Here is a 17,330-nt window from a genome sequence, read left to right on the forward strand (position 1 = left end):
CACCTTCATTTCTTTGGCCATATCATCCTTTCTTGCTAGTCTTCATCTCTCATGCCTAAGAAACTTTAAAATTGGAATTTTTTCTTTAAAAAACATTAATTTGGTGTAATTAATAGAAAAAAAACGAATGTAGCATGCAAGACGGCCCAACCAGAGGTATCTTAAAAATTTCTTATATTAGTCTAAATGTTTTAATCTAACCACAATTTGTAAGTATTTCCAAACTAAGATCTTGTTTAGGTCTTCCTAAGAATGTATTTCTGCCTCAGAATGCACAATGTTTTCACATAAATGTCAGTATGATTAGGGTTTATTAGCAATTGTAAAAAATTCAACACTACATTAAATCAAGCTTTAAAAAAGCAATAATGAAACCATCTCTTCCCCAAAATCAAGCTAAAATGGCTTTCAGGAATGAAAAAAAAAAAAAAAGATTATTACTCTTTGTATAGTCACATAACTACAGGTAAGTGCATACATATCAGGTCAATATTATAAATAAACTTTGATACTTATTTTTGCCATTTCACATTCAATCTACATTTCTGAAGTCCTTAAAAGCATAGTATACATTCTTAACATAGTTAAGAATTTAAGTAAGAATGCTAATATGTTGCTCCAAAGTAAACTGTTTCATAAACTATTCTTTTATTTCTTATCTATAAGGGCCCTAAAATAAGATTGTGAGCTCTCCTGAATCCAAGTAACACGTCTGGCCTGTTCATGACTATATGCCTAGTCTGGCCTAGCCTGCACTACGTTATCAATGATTTTTTGTTAATTAAATTATGTAATAAAATGCACCCCATAATCTGCTGCATTTTCAAATTTTACTCAGTCAAGTGCCAACATACAGAAAAATAAAGGAATGTATGATTTTTGTCTTACTCATTACTGAGTTAAACAGCTGACAGAATACAATAAAAGATCTCCTCCAATAGTTTCTTTAGCTAATGGCTTAAATTTTAAGATCTTCATATACATAATAAATTCAAATCTTAGTCCTGTAAATGAAAAGCATGTTAAGTTTTAGCAATATTTGACACGTTAAAACTTACCAAATTCCCGATATGCCTCAAAAAACATCTTTTTAGGGTTATTCGTTCTAAGAGATTTGAACACAAAGTAGCAATTTGATTATACCAAGGAATTACTGTTAATTTGCTTAGATGTGATACAGCCCTGTGGTTTAACAATGTCCATTTTAAGAGATGCAGATAAGTTTCTGAGATTTGCTTTAAAATACTTAAGCATATACACACCCAACACTGGAGCACCCAGATTCATAAAACAAGTTATTCTCGGCTTACAAGAAGACTTAGCCACACAATAATAGTGGGGGACCTCAGGCTGGGTGCGGTGGCTCATGCCTGTAATACCAGTAGTTTGGGAGGCCGAGGCAGGTGGATCAAGAGGTCAGGAGTTCGAGACCAGCCTGGCCAACATAATGAAACCTAGTCTCTACTAAAAATACAAAAATTAGCCAGGCATGGTGGTGGGCACCTGTAATCCCAGCTACTGAAGAGGCTGAGGCAGGAAAATCGCTTGAACCTGGGAGGTGGAGGTTGCAGTGAGCCAAGATCATGCCATTGCACTCCAGCCTGGGTAACAAGCGCAAAACTCCATCTCAAAAAAAAAAAAAAAAAAAATAGTAGGGGACTTCAATACCCCACTCACACCATTAGACAGATCATGGAGGCAGAACACTAACGAAATTCTGGACTTAAACTCTACACTTGACCAACTGGATACACATTGACACAGAGTACTACACCCAACAACCACAGAATATACAAACTCCTCATCTGTACATGGAACATGTTTTAAGATAGACCACATGCTTGGCCATAAAGCAAGTCTCAATAAATTAAAAAAAAATCATAATCACACCAAGCATAACTCTTGGACCACAGTGAATAAACATAGAAATCAATATCAAGAAGATCTCTCAAAACTACACAAAAACATTAAAATTAAACAATTTGCTTCTGAATAACTCTTGGATGAACAAAGAAATTAAGGCAGGAATAACAAAATTCTTTGAAATTAATGAAAATAGAGATACAATTTACCAAAATCTTTGGATGCAGCTAAAGCAGTGTAGAGAGGAAAATTTATAGCACTAAAAATGCCTTCATCAAGAGGTTAGGAAGATCTCAAATTAATGACCTTACATCACATGTAGAGGAACTAGAAGAAAAAGAACAATCTAATCCCAAAGCTAGTAGAAGAAAAAACTAAAATCAGAGAAGAGCTGAATGAAATTGAGACCCAAAAGTCCATACAAAAGATAAATAAGACCAAGAGTTGGTTCTTCAAAAGAATAAGCAAGACTGATAAACCACTAACAAGATTAACAAAGAAAAAAAAAGAGAAGATCAAAATAAGTGCAATCAGAAATGACAAAGATGACGTTACAACCAATACCACAGAAATACAAAAGATTCTCAGAGATTATTATGAACATCTCTATGCACAGACTAGAAAATCTAGAGGAAATGGATAAATTCTTGGAAACACACAACCTCCCAAGATTCAAACAATAAGAAAGTGAAAATCTGAACTGACCAGTAACAAGTTCAGAAATTGAATCAGTAATTTAAACAAAACAAAACAAAAAACTACCAACCAAAAAGAGCCCTGGACCAGATGATTCACAGACAAGTTCTAATAGAGGTACAAAGAATTGATACCAATCCTGCTGAAACTTCCAAAAAATCAAGGAGGGGCTTCTCCCTAATTTATTCTATGAATCCAGCATCATCCTGATACCAAAATCTGGCAGAGACACAATGATAAAAGAAAACTTTGGGCAAATATCCCTCATAAACACAGATACAAAAATCCTCGACAAAATACTCTGTATTTGTTCAGCTTACAAAATACTTGTAAGCTGAATCCAGGAGCACATCAAAAGTTAATTTGCCACAATCAAGTATGCTTTATTCCTGCAATGCAAGGCTTGATTCAAAATATGCAAATCAATAAATGTGATTTACCACATAAATAGAATAAAAAACAAAAAACATATGATCATCTCAACAGATGCAGAAAAAGTCTTTGATAAAATCCAACATCCCGTCATGATAACAACCCTTAACAGACTAGGAATCAAAAGAACATAACCCAAAATAGTAAGAGTCATCTATGACAAACCCACAGCCAACTTAATAGTGAATGGGCAAAAGCTGAAACCATTCCCTTTGACAATTAAAACAAGACAAGGATGCCCACTTTCACCACTCCTATTCAACATTATACTGAAGGTCCTAACCAGAGCAATCTGTCAATAGTAAGAAATAAATGGCATCCAAATAGGAAAAGATTAAGTCAAATTATCTCTCTTCACTGACAGTATGATTCTATACACAGAAAACCCTAAAGACTCTGCCAAAAGGCTCCTGGAACTGATAGACAAATTCAGCAAAGTTTCAGAATACAAAATCGATGTACAAAACTTGGTAGCATTTCCATATACTAATAACATTCTAGCTGAGAAAGAAATAAAAAACACAATCTTATTTACAATAGCCACAAAGAAAATAACTAGGAACTCATCTAAGCAAGGAGGTGAAAAATCTCTACAATGAGAACACAAAGCCCTGCTGAAAGAAATCGAAGATGACACAAATAAATGGAAAATCCTTCCATAAGCATGATTTGGAAGAATCGATATTGCTAAAATGGCAATATTGTTCAAAGCAATTTACAGATCCAATGTTATCCTTAAAATACCAACGTCATTTTTCACAGAATTAGAAAAAAACTATTCTAAAATTCACATGGAACAAAAAAAGAGCTTGAATGGCCAAAGCAGTCCTAAGCAAAATGAACATACCTGGAGGCATCACACTACCCAACTTCAATTTATACTATCAGGCTACAATAACCAAAACAGTATGGCACTGGTAGGTACAAAAACAGACATAAGACCAATGGAATAGAATACAGAACCCAGGCATAAAGCTGTAAACCTACACCATCTGATCTTTGACAAAATCAACAAAAACAAGCAATGGGGAAAGGACTCCCTATTCAATCAATGGTGCTTGGATAACTAGCTAGCCATGTGCAGAAGAATAAAACTGGACCACTACTTTTCACCATATACAATAACTCAAGATCAATCAAAACTTAAGTCTAAGACCTCAAACTATAAAAATCCTAGAAGGAAAGCTAGGAAATATCCTTCATGACACAGGCTTTGGCAAATAATTTATGGCTAAGTCTTCAAAAGCAATTGCAAAAAAAAAAACAAAAATTGACAAGTGGGACCTAATTAAATTAAAGAGCTTCTGCATAGCAGAAGAAATTGCCAACAGAGTAAACAGACAGCCTAGGGAATGGGTGAAAGTATTTGCAAACTATGCATCTGACAAAGGCCTAATCTCTAAAATCTACAAGAAACTTAAAAAAAAATCAACCTGTGAAAAACAAAAAAATCCAATAAAAAATGAGAAGACACAGACACTTCTCAAAAGAAGACATACAAGTCGCCAACAAGCATATGAAAAAACACTCAGCATCACTAATCATCAGAGAAATAAAAATCAAAACCAGGATGAGATACCATCTCATAGCAGAATGGCAATTATTAAAAAGTCAAAAAATAACAGATACTGGCAAGGCTGTGAAGAAAAGGGAATGCTTACATGCTGTTGCTAGGAATGCAAACTAGATCAACCACTATGGAAAGCAGTTTGGAGATTTGTCATGTAAGTTACAACAAAACTACCATTTGACCCAGCAATCCCATTAGTAGGTATACGCACAAAAGAAAGTAAGTTGTTCTTCCATAAAGACACATGCACTGGTATGTTCACTGCAGAGCTATTCACAGTAACGAAGACATGTAATCAATCTTGGTGGCCATCAATGGTGGACTGGATAAAGAAAATGTGGCACATGGAATACAACATAGCCTTAAAAAATAATAAAACCATGTCCTCTGCAGCAACATGAGTGAAGCTAGAGGCCATTATCCTAAGTGAATTAATGCAAGAACAGAAAACCAAATAATGTATATTCTCACTTGTAAGTGGGAGCTAAACACTGAAGACACATGAATGTAAACATGGGAACAACACATACCGGGGACAACTAGATGGGGAGGTGGGAGAGGGCAGGGGTCGTGGGCTTATAAAACACTTGTTGTGTACCTATGCTCACTGTCTGGGTGACGGAAATGTTAGGACCCCAAGCCTCAGTGTCGTGCAATATACCCATGTAACAAACCTGCTTATGTACCCTTTAATCTATAATTAAAAAAAAAAGGTTCAAGGTATTAAAAATAATAAAAAAATAAAAGTGGTCAGGGAACATGGAAAAAAGTAATAAAATACTTAAGCAAAAAATAATCAAAATGAAGAGGATACATAAAACTCGTACAGCAAAATCTTAACCACTGCTGAATGTGGGTGATGGTTATGTGAGGAATTAGTCCATTCTCTCCATTTTCCTGTATAAATTTTCATTAAACATTTCAAATAATGACAAAAATAATATAAAGCAAGCTGGGTGCAGTTGTAGTCCCAGCTACTCGGGAAGCTGAGGCATGAGGACTGCATGAGCCTAGGAGTCTGAGGATCGCCTAGGCAGCATAATGAGACCCTGTCTCTTAAAAAAAAAAAATCAGTAACAGAAAGATAACTGGAAAAATCCCAATATCTGGAAACTAGTAACAGCCTCAGTAATCATGGGTCGAAGAGAAAAATCAAAATGGAAATTAAAAGGTATTTTGATATATACTTCAAAACACGCTGTATGCAATAAACACAATTTTATCTGTCAATTTTAAAAAAACAAACTTCCTAAAAAATAAAAAGAAAGCTAAAATAGTACTTTGAACTATATTAAAATGGAAAAGTATCACATCAGTTTTTTTTGTGATGTGGCTAATACAGTACTTAGAGGGAAATGTGTAGCACAAAATAACTATATTAGAAAAGAAGGTATCAACTAAAGGACCTCAATTTTTATCTTAAGAAATTAGCAGATAAGAGCAAATTAAACCCTCAAAAAGTAGAAGAATAAAAATAATTAAGAGCAAAGATTAATGATAACAGAAAACAAAAAAATACAGCCTATCAGTAAAACCAAGAGCTGGCTCTCTGGGAAGATCAATAAAACTGATAATCTTCTAAGCTAGACTCTTCAGGAAAAAGGTAAGAAGAAACAAAATCCACTATCAGGCATGAAAGAGGGAAAATCATCATACAATCCAAAGATATTAAGAGAATAATAAGGCAATATTATGAATAATTGTACGCCAATAAGTTCAACAGCCCTGATGAGACGGACAAATGTCTTAAAAGACACAAACTAATTATAATGCTAAATCAAGAAGAAATAGATAACCTGATTAACCCTAAATCTCTTAAGCAAATTGAATTGGTAGTTAAAATTCTTTTCTGGAAGCTTCACTGGCAAATTCTACAAAATATTTAAGGAAGAAATAATACCAATTCTATACAAACTTACAGAAAATGCAGAGGTGGAAGCACTTATGAGAAGAGCATACTGTCATCAAAACTAGACAATGATAGTACAAGAAAACAAGCTACAACCTTATGAGAAGGATACTATCAATTATTCCACTTTAGAGACGAAGAAATTTGGCATATAGAAGCTCAGGAACTTGCCTAAAATCACAGAACTAATAATTGGCAGGCTACTTCAGAACCCACGCTTTTAATAATAATGGTATAAGTGCTTCTCAAATTCAATTAGATTCTAGACATTCTTACAAAAGAAAATAGTAATTTGACCAATACTTACCTAGAGACTATACTGGAACCATTATAGAGATCACTAGCATATGACAATGTGGCTAAAGGTCGTACTGAATTATATCGAGTAAACTTGGACAAGCATTCCTGAAATTCATCCAACTGGCTTGCAGTTCGACTGTCATCTATATGAAAAAAAAAAAAAAAAGACAAAACAGATGAATTGAACTGCAAAGTAAGTCAAAGAGCCACATCCACAAATTAAAATTTATATTCTAAATACAAAAAACAATTTTTAAAGATTTTACTAAAGACTAGTTTACACAATTTAATTGGTCAGTTTTTCAGTTTTAATAAAAAATGTCTTGGTTCTTTGAAAGATACTGTCTCTTTCCACTGTGAATTCTCACTTTTTTGGCAATAATTCCTTGGAAAAAAAATAATAACAATAATAATAATAATAAAGCTACTATTTAAGAGTCATTAAAACAAAAATCCATCAATGGAGAATGTGAGGATATTAAGAAGAGTACTGGATGAGTATTTGTTAGTTTGAAGGAACGTGTTTACTGGCACACATATTTATGCCCATGTTTTGTTTAAAATCCCGTTTATAATAACATTTTAGATAAAATAGTTTATAAATAAGAAGAAATATTTGGTCAAATAATATACTGAAATGTTTCAAATCCTATTACAGGAAGACAGTAGAAAACTGCAATGTTATGAACTATTAATTCTAAAAAACAAACAAAAAAAGTTTGAAATTGCTCCTTTTTATCTCAAAGTGCCTTCATCAAGAAAAAATATTCATTCAAATCTCTTGCTGAAATATGAAAAACAATAATTCCATCCAGTGGTACAGTATACAAAAACCTTGGGTAAAGTCCACTTCAGTAAACTATTGGAAGATAAATCATGTGGAATTTAAAACATAGTATCAGTTTACGAAGTACCTGAGAATACAACGAATCTATTCTCCAGTCTATTAATAGAAGCAGACCTACACTAAAAGCATAGATTTAAAAAATCATTGCTTTTCAGCACTGTGTCGTTTGAACATATACTTTCCTTTCTGAAGAATGAAAAAAACAATGAGCACTTTAGTTTCCTAGACTGAAACTGAGACAAGTTTGTTATACCACTGTATTTTCATAGCTTCTTTATTCTAAGCCCATACATACACACACACACAACTTTTTCAAGGTAAATGTTCATGATTTCCCTTCTTAAATGCCATCTGAAGTATAGTAAGCATAATAAAAGTAAGATGCAAGAATTATTAAGTCAAAAGAGTTATGCAGATAATATAATGCACAGTAAAGAATTTATGTTATCTGGAGATATTAGGTTATCTTGAAAATAACTGTTTGCATGACGAAATTTATGTAACAATTATTATAAGAAAAAAATAAACAACAGGGCCGGGTGCAGCAGCTCACACCTGTAATCCCAGTACTTTGGGAGGCCGAGGCAGGCGGATCACCTGAGGTCGGGAGTTCGAGACCAGCCTGACTAACATGGAGAAACCCTGTCTCTACTAAAAATACAAAATTAGCCAGGTGTGCTGGAGCATGCCTGTAATCCTAGCTACTCGGGAGGCTAGGCAGGAGAATAGCTTGAACCCGGGAGGTGGAGGTTGCAGTGAGCCAAGATCACACCACTGCATTCCAGCCTGGGCAACGAGAGCAAAACTCCATCTCAAAAAAAAAAGAAAAAAGAAAAAAGAAAGAAGAAAAATAAATAACATTACTTGAGGAAACTGAGTGAGCTTTTGTCCCTGATATTTTACAAATTTTAAAGATTTAAACACTAAGCAAATTCATCAAAACACCTAGATTTAAAGGGTCCACTTAGTTGTGCTTCCATTCTAAAGACAGCAAAAGGAATTACCTAACAGGCAATATCATAACGGTATTGAGACAAAACTCTTGCTCCACAAAAATTATTCTCAGGAAATTCCACGTATTATAAATAAAACATGGGTTATTTGCAAAAATAAAAATCCCAACTGTACTGCAGAGTGGTCTGGATATAATAGTTAATGATTCTTTTTATATGGAATCCTATTACTGTGAGTTATTTAACATTCTACATACTGGAAAGATGGTTGGTTTTATTAATTTAAAAACTGTTTCAATGTTATCCTATTCATTCCCATTTTGATATCAATTCCTAAGTACATAAAACTCACAAGCATTCAATATTGTGTATTCTGTTCTAAGCTAATAATCCTGTTCTAGGCTAACTGGATTTCTGCCCATCATATAAGCTCATTAATAGCTACTTTCAACAGAAACCATAAAGAAAACAATAAAACTAGTTTTTTCAGTATCTGAAAGTATAGTAATTGATTTTAACTTATGAGGTTACAAAAAAGGTAGAATTTTGTTTGCGTGGTGTTTTATCATCAACATCCACACATATCTGCTGGTATATCACCTCTCCTATCCTAATTACAAATTGGTTTGTAAAAGTGTATTCAATGTCTCTTTTCTTTCTCCTAGTGCTTTATAATTAACTTCCTCTTTCAATTACAGTTAAAACTCCAAAGTAATAGTTCTTTAATATTCATCTTTCATTTTAATAGTTGGAAATAAAAGAGAATACAGATGGATTTACAGATTCTCATTTGAAAATATACAAAGGACAATCAACCTCTTAGGTACACCGTTTCAGAGAAGTTAAAATTTCCCCTTTACAGTCAGAGGTACTAGGAGGAACTTACAATCCAGCAATACAATTAGAGTAGCTAGCTAACGTAAGATTCCTGAAAACTAGAGACATGTTTTACGTACAATACAGCCATACCCATACAAATAAAAATCTATCTAATTTTCCACCTGGTTTTAATTTATTATTCTACTGTCTTGTAAAGCTACACCCCCAAATATAAACTGACTTGTGATGACCTTTACTATTCCATACCATATCTATGCTGCCAGTGACTTAAAGATTACTAATAATAGCCTACCCCAATCTCTTTCCCACCTCTTTTTTTAAAGGTCTGCCACTTGCCTATAGTTGTACTTCAGTATCATACCAACAAATAATGTATGAAAGGGTTAACATGAACTCTACCAGTCAGAATGCAGGTATTGGGCTACTTTCAACTTAACAACTCCCAAAGTGCTGGGATTACAGGCATGAGCCACTGCGCCCGGACTGATTTTGGGAATCTTAATATCCAGAAATTGTTAGAAAATAATTACCAAATAGAAAATGAGTTACTTTTTCCAACGAAATAAGAGGACACAAACAAATGGAAGAACATTCCATGCCCATGGATAGGAAGAATCAATACTGTGAAAATGGCCACACTGCCCAAAGTAATTTATAAATTCAATACCATCCCCATCAAGCTACCAATGACTTTCTTCACACAACTGGAAAAAACTACTTTAAAGTTCATATGGAACCAAAAAAGAGCCCACATTGCCAAGAGAATCCTAAGCAAAAATTATTACACAAGCACAATAAGGGGCTCCATTCCCAGGCAATAAATGAAAGCTTTCCCAGCATAAAAACTGTTTGTTGTTAATTTCAAACAAACAAACAAATTTTGCCTTCTCCCTTGGTCTTCAGAGGAAAAATGCTTTGTAAATCTAATATATTTTTTCCTATACCACTAATCGTGAGGCAAATTTGTCTGTAGGATCTAAGCAATATGTAGATTATAAATAATATAAACATATGTATTCAAGAGAAAACCAACACCCAGTTTTTAACAACCAATAAAATACCAGACTTTTTTTTTTCCCCCTTGGTGGGGTTTATTTTAAGCAGATGCCTCATTAATGACCTGAATTAATTGAGCACCCAACATGTACCAAGCATTGTATCTTATATATGTCACTTACAATCATTAAAAAACCCATTAGGGTTAATGTCTCTACTTCATAGATGAGCAAAGACACTGAGAAAGACTGAAGAACAGAGTTAAGAAAAAGAGGAAAAACTAAATTACTTTTTTACAGTAATAAAAATATCATATGCTATCACATCCACATCTTTGCATATGTTATTTCCTCTACTTTGAACATGTTTCTAAGTATCTTTTTCAGTTAATTCATACTCGAATAGCCCATATACAACTCCTCTGAAATCCCTACACTGATCATTCCCTTACACCTCCCCATTTTCAATTCGGCCTGGATTTTTTTTTTTACTATCAGTTGTATTAGTGGATATTATTATCTATTCTCATGATACTCCTGTAAACTTATTTAACACATAATATCACACAGAACTGTTTATCTGTTGCTTTCCCTGACTCGATTTACAACACTCCTTAATGACAGAAACCAGTTCTTTCATCTTTTTATTCTTAGCACAGAGGACAGTGCTTAGAACTTCATGTTTATTTAATGTTAAATAGGAGGCAACTGAATGAAACTTATTTTTGTTGGCTACATATTCATAGCTGAATTTCTTTTTAACTTTATCTAGCTTGCCATATAAAGATTCAGAATTCACAAATATAGAACAAAAAATAGTCATTGGAAAGTAACATTCTCTAAGATCACTAAGAACCTCCATGATGATCTGGTAGACTATGTCAAAAATACATACTTTTGCTTTGCAATTAGGACTTTCCATAAATTCAGCACAAAAACCTAGAAACAGATCTGAAATGTAGATTTCAGATAATTTGAGAAGGTCTAAATATATACCTGAGATACGAGACATCCTTGTAGAAAAGTAACACTGCTCCAAGTCTTCAAAATGAGCAGTAAGTCGTTTTCGTCTTGATGCTAACGTGCTATTATACCAAGGCTGTTTCTTTGTCTAAAATAATAAGAAAAGACACAAAACTTAGAATAAACAATACTCTTCTTTTGCACAGAATACTCAAATGTTTGAGCATTTACCCTCAGAAGTTCATCACAGTAAAATGATCACAAATAGTAAAAAACTGTAATTCTGAGATATTTTCCAATTTATCTTTTAACATGAAAATAGAAACCAAATTCATTCGCAGAATGATTAAAACTAATAATGACTAAAAATAAGCTCTAAAGGACAGTTTTACAAGACTAAAATGAGAAACATCTTCACTTCTACAAATAAAATGAAGACAGAATTCATTATGCCATTCTAAAATTTAGAATTTTGGGAATCTTTCTTTTTTTTTTTTTTTTGAGATGGAGTCTCACTCTGTCGCCCAGGCTGGAGTGCAGTGGCACCATCTCAGCTCACTGCAAGCTCTACCTCCCAGTTTCTCGACATTCTCCTGCCTCAGCCTCCCAAGTAGCTGGGACTACAGCCGCCCGCCACCACGCCCAGCTAATTATATTGAATTTTTAGTAGAGACAGGGTTTCACCGTGTTAGCCAGGATGGTCTCGATCTCCTGACCTCATGATCCACCCGCCTCGGCCTCCCAAAGTGCTGGGATTACAGGCATGAGCCACTGCGCCTGGCCTGATTTTGGGAATCTTAATATCCAGAAATTGTTAGAAAATAATTATCAAATAGAAAATGAGTTACTTTTTCCAACGAAATAAGAGGACACAAACAAATGGAAGAACATTCCATGCTCATGGATAGGAAGAATCAATATTGTGAAAATGGCCATACTGCCCAAAGTAATTTATAAATTCAATGCCATCCCCATCAAGCTACCAATGACTTTCTTCACAGAACTGGCAAAACTACTTTAAAGTTCATATGGAACCAAAAAAGAGCCCACATTGCCAAGACAATCCTAAGCAAAAAGAACAAAGCTGGAGGCATCACACTACCTGACTTCAAACTATACTACAAGGCTACAGTAACCAAAACAGCATGGTACTGGTACCCAAACAGAGATACAGACCAATCGAACAGAACAGATGCCTCAGAAATAACACCACACAGCTACAACCATTTGATCTTTGACAAATCTGACAAAAACAAGAAATGGGGAAAGGATTCCCTATTTAGTAAATGGTTCTGGGAAAACTGGCTAGCCATATGTAGAAAGCTGAAACTGGATCCCTTCCTTATACCTTATACAAAAATTAATTTAAGATGGATTAAAGACTTAAATGTTAGACCTAAAACCATAAAAACCTAGAAGAAAACCTAGGCAGTACCATTCAGGACATAGGCATGGGCAAAGACTTCATGATTAAAACACCAAAAGCAATGGCAACAAAAGCCAAAATTGACAAATGGGATCTAATTAAACTAAAGAGCTTCTGCAAAGCAAAAGAAACTATCATCAGAGTGAACAGGCAACCTACAGAATGGGAGAAAATTTTTGCAATCTATTCATCTGACAAACGGCTAAAATCTAGAATCTACAAAGAACACAAAGAAATTTACGAGAAAAAATCAACCCCATCAAAAAGTGGGAGAAGGGTATGAACACACACTTCTCAAAAGAAGACATTTATGCAGCCAACAGACACATGAAAAAGTGATCATCATCATTGGCCATCAGAGAAATGCAAATCAAAACCACAATGAGATACCATCTCACACCAGTTAGAATGGCAATCATTAAAAAGTCAGGGAACAACAGGTGCTGGAGAGGATGTGAAGAAACAGGAACGCTTTTACACTGTTGGTGGGAGTATAAACTAATTCAACCATTGTGGAAGACAATGTGGCGATTCCTCAAGAATCTAGAACTAGAAATACCATTTGACTCAGCCACCCCATTACGGGTTATATACCCAAAGGATTATAAATCATGCTACTACAAAGACACATGCACATGTATGTTTATTGCAGCACTATTCACAATAGCAAAGACTTGGAACCAACTCAAATGTCCATCAATGATAGACTGGATTAAGAAAATATGGCACATATACACCATGGAATACTATGCAGCCATAAAAAAGGATGAGTTCATGTCCTTTGTAGCGACATGGATGAAGCTGGAAACCATCATTCTCAGCAAACTATCGCAGGATAGAAAACCAAACACCATATGTTCTCACTCATAGGTGGGAACTGAACAATGAGAATACTTGGACACAGGAAGGGGAACATCACACACCAGGGTCTGTCATGGGGTGGGGGGATGGGTGAGGGATAGCACTAGGAGAAACACCTAATGTAAATGACGAGTTAACGGGTCCAGCAAACCAACACGGCACATGTATACATATGTGACAAACCTGCACATTGTGCACATGTACCCTAGAACTTAAAGTATCATAAAAAAAAAAAGAATGAGCTGCTGATACATACAAAACAGAATGAATCTCAAAAACACTGAATGACAGTCATACACAAAAGGTAATGTTATTACAAAATTTCATTATATAAGGATTAAAAACAGGTGAATTATGAGTTTCTAGAAGTCAGTATAATATTTGCCCCTGAAGAACTGGGACTGAATTTGAAAGGAGCATAAGGCAAGATGAATGTTCCATATGTTCATCTCGGTATTGTGGGATCACATGTATGTGTTTGTCAAATCTCACTCAAGCAAATACATAAGATCTGCGCTTTTCTTTATATGTGTTTTACCTCCATTTCAAAGAAGGCATAATAAAAAATTATTTTATTATTACTTCCAAAAAAAGAAAAATGAATTGCTTTTTCATTATCCCTACACTGTAGCCTTACAACCTGGAATTACTGGAATAGTTCTTAGCTGTAAGAAATATCTATTTGGCCGGGCGCAGTGGCTCGTACCTGTAATCCCAGCATTTTGGGAGGCCAAGTTGGGCGGATCACCTGAGGTCGGCAGTTCAAGACCAGCCTGACCAACATGGAGAAACCCCGTCTGTACTAAAACTACAAAATTAGCCAGGCATCGTGGTGCATGCCTGTAATCCCAGCTACTCGGGAGGCTGAGGCAGGAGAATCACTTGAACCCAGGAGGCAGAGGCTGAAGTGAGCTGAGGTCGCACCATTGCACTCCAGCCTGGGCAACAAGAGCAAAACTCAGTCTCCAAAAAAAAAAAAAAAATCTATTTAGGCCGGGCGTGGTGGCTCACGCCTGTAATCCCAGCACTTTGGGAGGCCGAGGTGTGTGGATCACGAGATCAGAAGTTCAAGACCAGCCTGGCCAAGATGGTGAAACCCCGTCTCTACTAAAAATACAAAAATCAGCCGGGCACAGTGGCAGGACCCCAGCTACTTGGGAGGCTGGGGCAGGAGAATCACTTGAACCAGGGCTGCAGGGGCTGCACTGAGCCAAGATCGAGCCAGTGCACCCCAGCCTGGGTGACAGACTGAGACTCTGTCTAAAACAATAACAACAACAACAACAACAACAACAACAATCTATTTAATACTGATTATCAGATTAAGAGGCAATAATATACACATGCCAAAGAGTTTGATATATTCATTAGAAGAACAAAATAACAAAATCAGATAAAAGGCAATAAACTTGAAAAATGTTAGCATATAAATCCTATAAAAAACAAAGGTTTGTGGTCCTAAATATGTATGGTATTTACCTGCTGGCACAAGTTCACCAACAACTGTACCACAATGCCAAATGCATAAAGTAAAAAGTACTAAGGTACTGTAATGTATACTACAGTGTATCCCTGCTTTGATAAAACTAGATGGGAGGAGGTAAGAGTCATATTTTAAAGCACTGCTTCACTCTGAGACCTAAACTCTGAGTTTTTTTCTTTCTTGCCCAAATTCCTATTTAAGGAGACTGCAGTCATGCCCTACAAACGATAAAATCTCATCAGATGGGTTTTACTTAACCCTATATAATCTCTCTTAGTTTTCAACCTGACTCTGAATAATGTCACGACAAATAAAGAAGGAAATCAATATATTTTACCCCCAAATAGTTTTTTGCCATATTTTGAAATGATCCTGCAAAGCAGTCTTTTGTGAGGAAAATTTTGCATCTGTATTAACATAACTACACCCTTCCCCTTCCAGGCCCTCCCAATCCTGAAGAGATTAACTGAGAGTCCAGCCTAATTAGGAAACATTTACCATCTACTGCCTCTAAAGGTAGCCACCTATGAGACTTCATCTACATAAAAACTTTGTTCTTCACAACCCCTTATCTTAACCCAGACACTCCTTCCTATTAATCTCAGGTCTTTGGATAGTAACTTAACTCTTTGAACCAAGAGTCAATCTAAAAATCTCTGAATCCATGTGTGACCTGTAAGCCAATCCCTGTTCCCACCCCCTGTCCCTGCCTGCTGTCCTGCCTTTCCAGATCGAATCAATGTAAACTTCCTAAGTAATGACAGGTGTCTTATGTCTCCTTAAAATGTATACCAACCACCTTGGGCACATGTTCTCAGGACCTCTTGAGACTATGCCTCAGGCCAGGGTCACTCATTTTGGTTTTTTCGGCTCCAAATAAACCTCTTTAAAAAAGTTTATTTGTCTCCAAATAAACTTCTTTAAATATTTTATAGCGTTTGACTCTCTTTGTCAATAACTCACAAGAAAGTAAGATAATTTTCAAAGACTTAACAGACAAACAGGAAGGTGAACTCAGAGATGTAATGATAAACAAAATATAACAGCAGCAGCACAGGGCAGGGGGAAAGAGGAGGACAATACCTACACAAAAGTAATTGAACTGGAATTTGGAGAATTAAGCCCAGGGACCGCAAGTAGGGAAACTGAAAACAGAATTTACAAAGTAGAAGAGAAATCTGAAAGAACTGCCTAGAATGTAGGATAAAAGCCAAGAAGACAAAAAATTTGAAAAACAATATAAAAGGCATAAAAGAATAATAGTTTGAAATATGGCCAGAGACTCAGAAGAAAAGACCAAGAAACTAAAGAAGAAATATTGGAAGAGTTGATGGCTGAGGTTTTTCCAGAACTGAAAACAGACATGAATACACAGAAAGTGAAATTATTCCGATCAAGTGAGATAATTAAAAAGAAACCCACAGTTAGACACACTAAGGTGAAACTGTGTTTTTGTCTATACAGCAAAAATATCTTAAAACCAAAAGAAAGATAATTTATTTAGGAACAACAATTAAAAAGGCAAAATGCTTTTCAAGAGCAGTAGAAAGAAGCTAGAGCAAAAAGGACATCAATAATCTTAAAAAAGTTGAGAGAAAAAAATTTCAGCCTAAAATTCAGAACCCCAAAAGGCTATCTCACAACATCATAAACAAAAATGAAGTTTATTACCAGTGAGCCATCTCTAAAAGAATTTCTGCCTGTAATCCCAGCTACTCAGGAGGCTGAGGCAAGGGAATAGCTTGAACCCAGGAGGCAGAGGTTGCAGAGAGCTGAGATCGTGCCACTGTGCCACTGTACTCAAGCCTGGGCAACAGAGCGAGACTCCGTCTCAAAAAAAAAAAAACAAAAAAAAAAACTTCTGAAGTTGTGTACTTGAATAATACAATGACACCAACTGGAAGATCTGAGACACAAAATAAAAAAAGAGAGCAAGGAAACGAGCAAATAAATAAGTGATTCTAAATATTACTATTAATCGTCATATCTAGTTTATGGGGCTTAAGAATAAGACAAAAAATTATCCAAGTAACAATATATAAGTCAGAAGAAAGTGAAAAAAGTTGCATTCTGGAGCTCTTGTATTGTTCAGGAAGGTAATTAAGATAATTAAGATACTCTGCTTAGATGATAAGTGTGAATAAATTTCAAAGACAACTACTGAAAGCACAGTGATAGAACAGGTAACAATC

The 17,330-nt window shown here is 35.2% G+C and overlaps 1 protein-coding gene across 31 annotated transcripts in view; it reads right to left on the reverse strand.

The window, feature by feature from the left end:
- COP1 (COP1 E3 ubiquitin ligase) overlaps positions 1 to 17,330 on the reverse strand; it is a 262,456-nt gene that overhangs the window by 129,544 nt on the left and 115,582 nt on the right. For all 31 annotated transcript variants that reach the window (XM_047427793.1, XM_047427798.1, NM_001286644.2 and 28 more), the window contains 2 exons: positions 11,402 to 11,516; positions 6,778 to 6,913 (listed from right to left, as the gene is read on the reverse strand). In XM_047427793.1, coding sequence (XP_047283749.1) covers positions 6,778 to 6,913; positions 11,402 to 11,516 — 251 coding nt within the window. The remainder of the gene's footprint in view (positions 1 to 6,777; positions 6,914 to 11,401; positions 11,517 to 17,330) is intronic.

The sequence above is a fragment of the Homo sapiens genome, chromosome 1 (assembly GCF_000001405.40).
Source record: "Homo sapiens chromosome 1, GRCh38.p14 Primary Assembly".
In the NCBI taxonomy this organism is placed as follows: domain Eukaryota; kingdom Metazoa; phylum Chordata; class Mammalia; order Primates; family Hominidae; genus Homo; species Homo sapiens.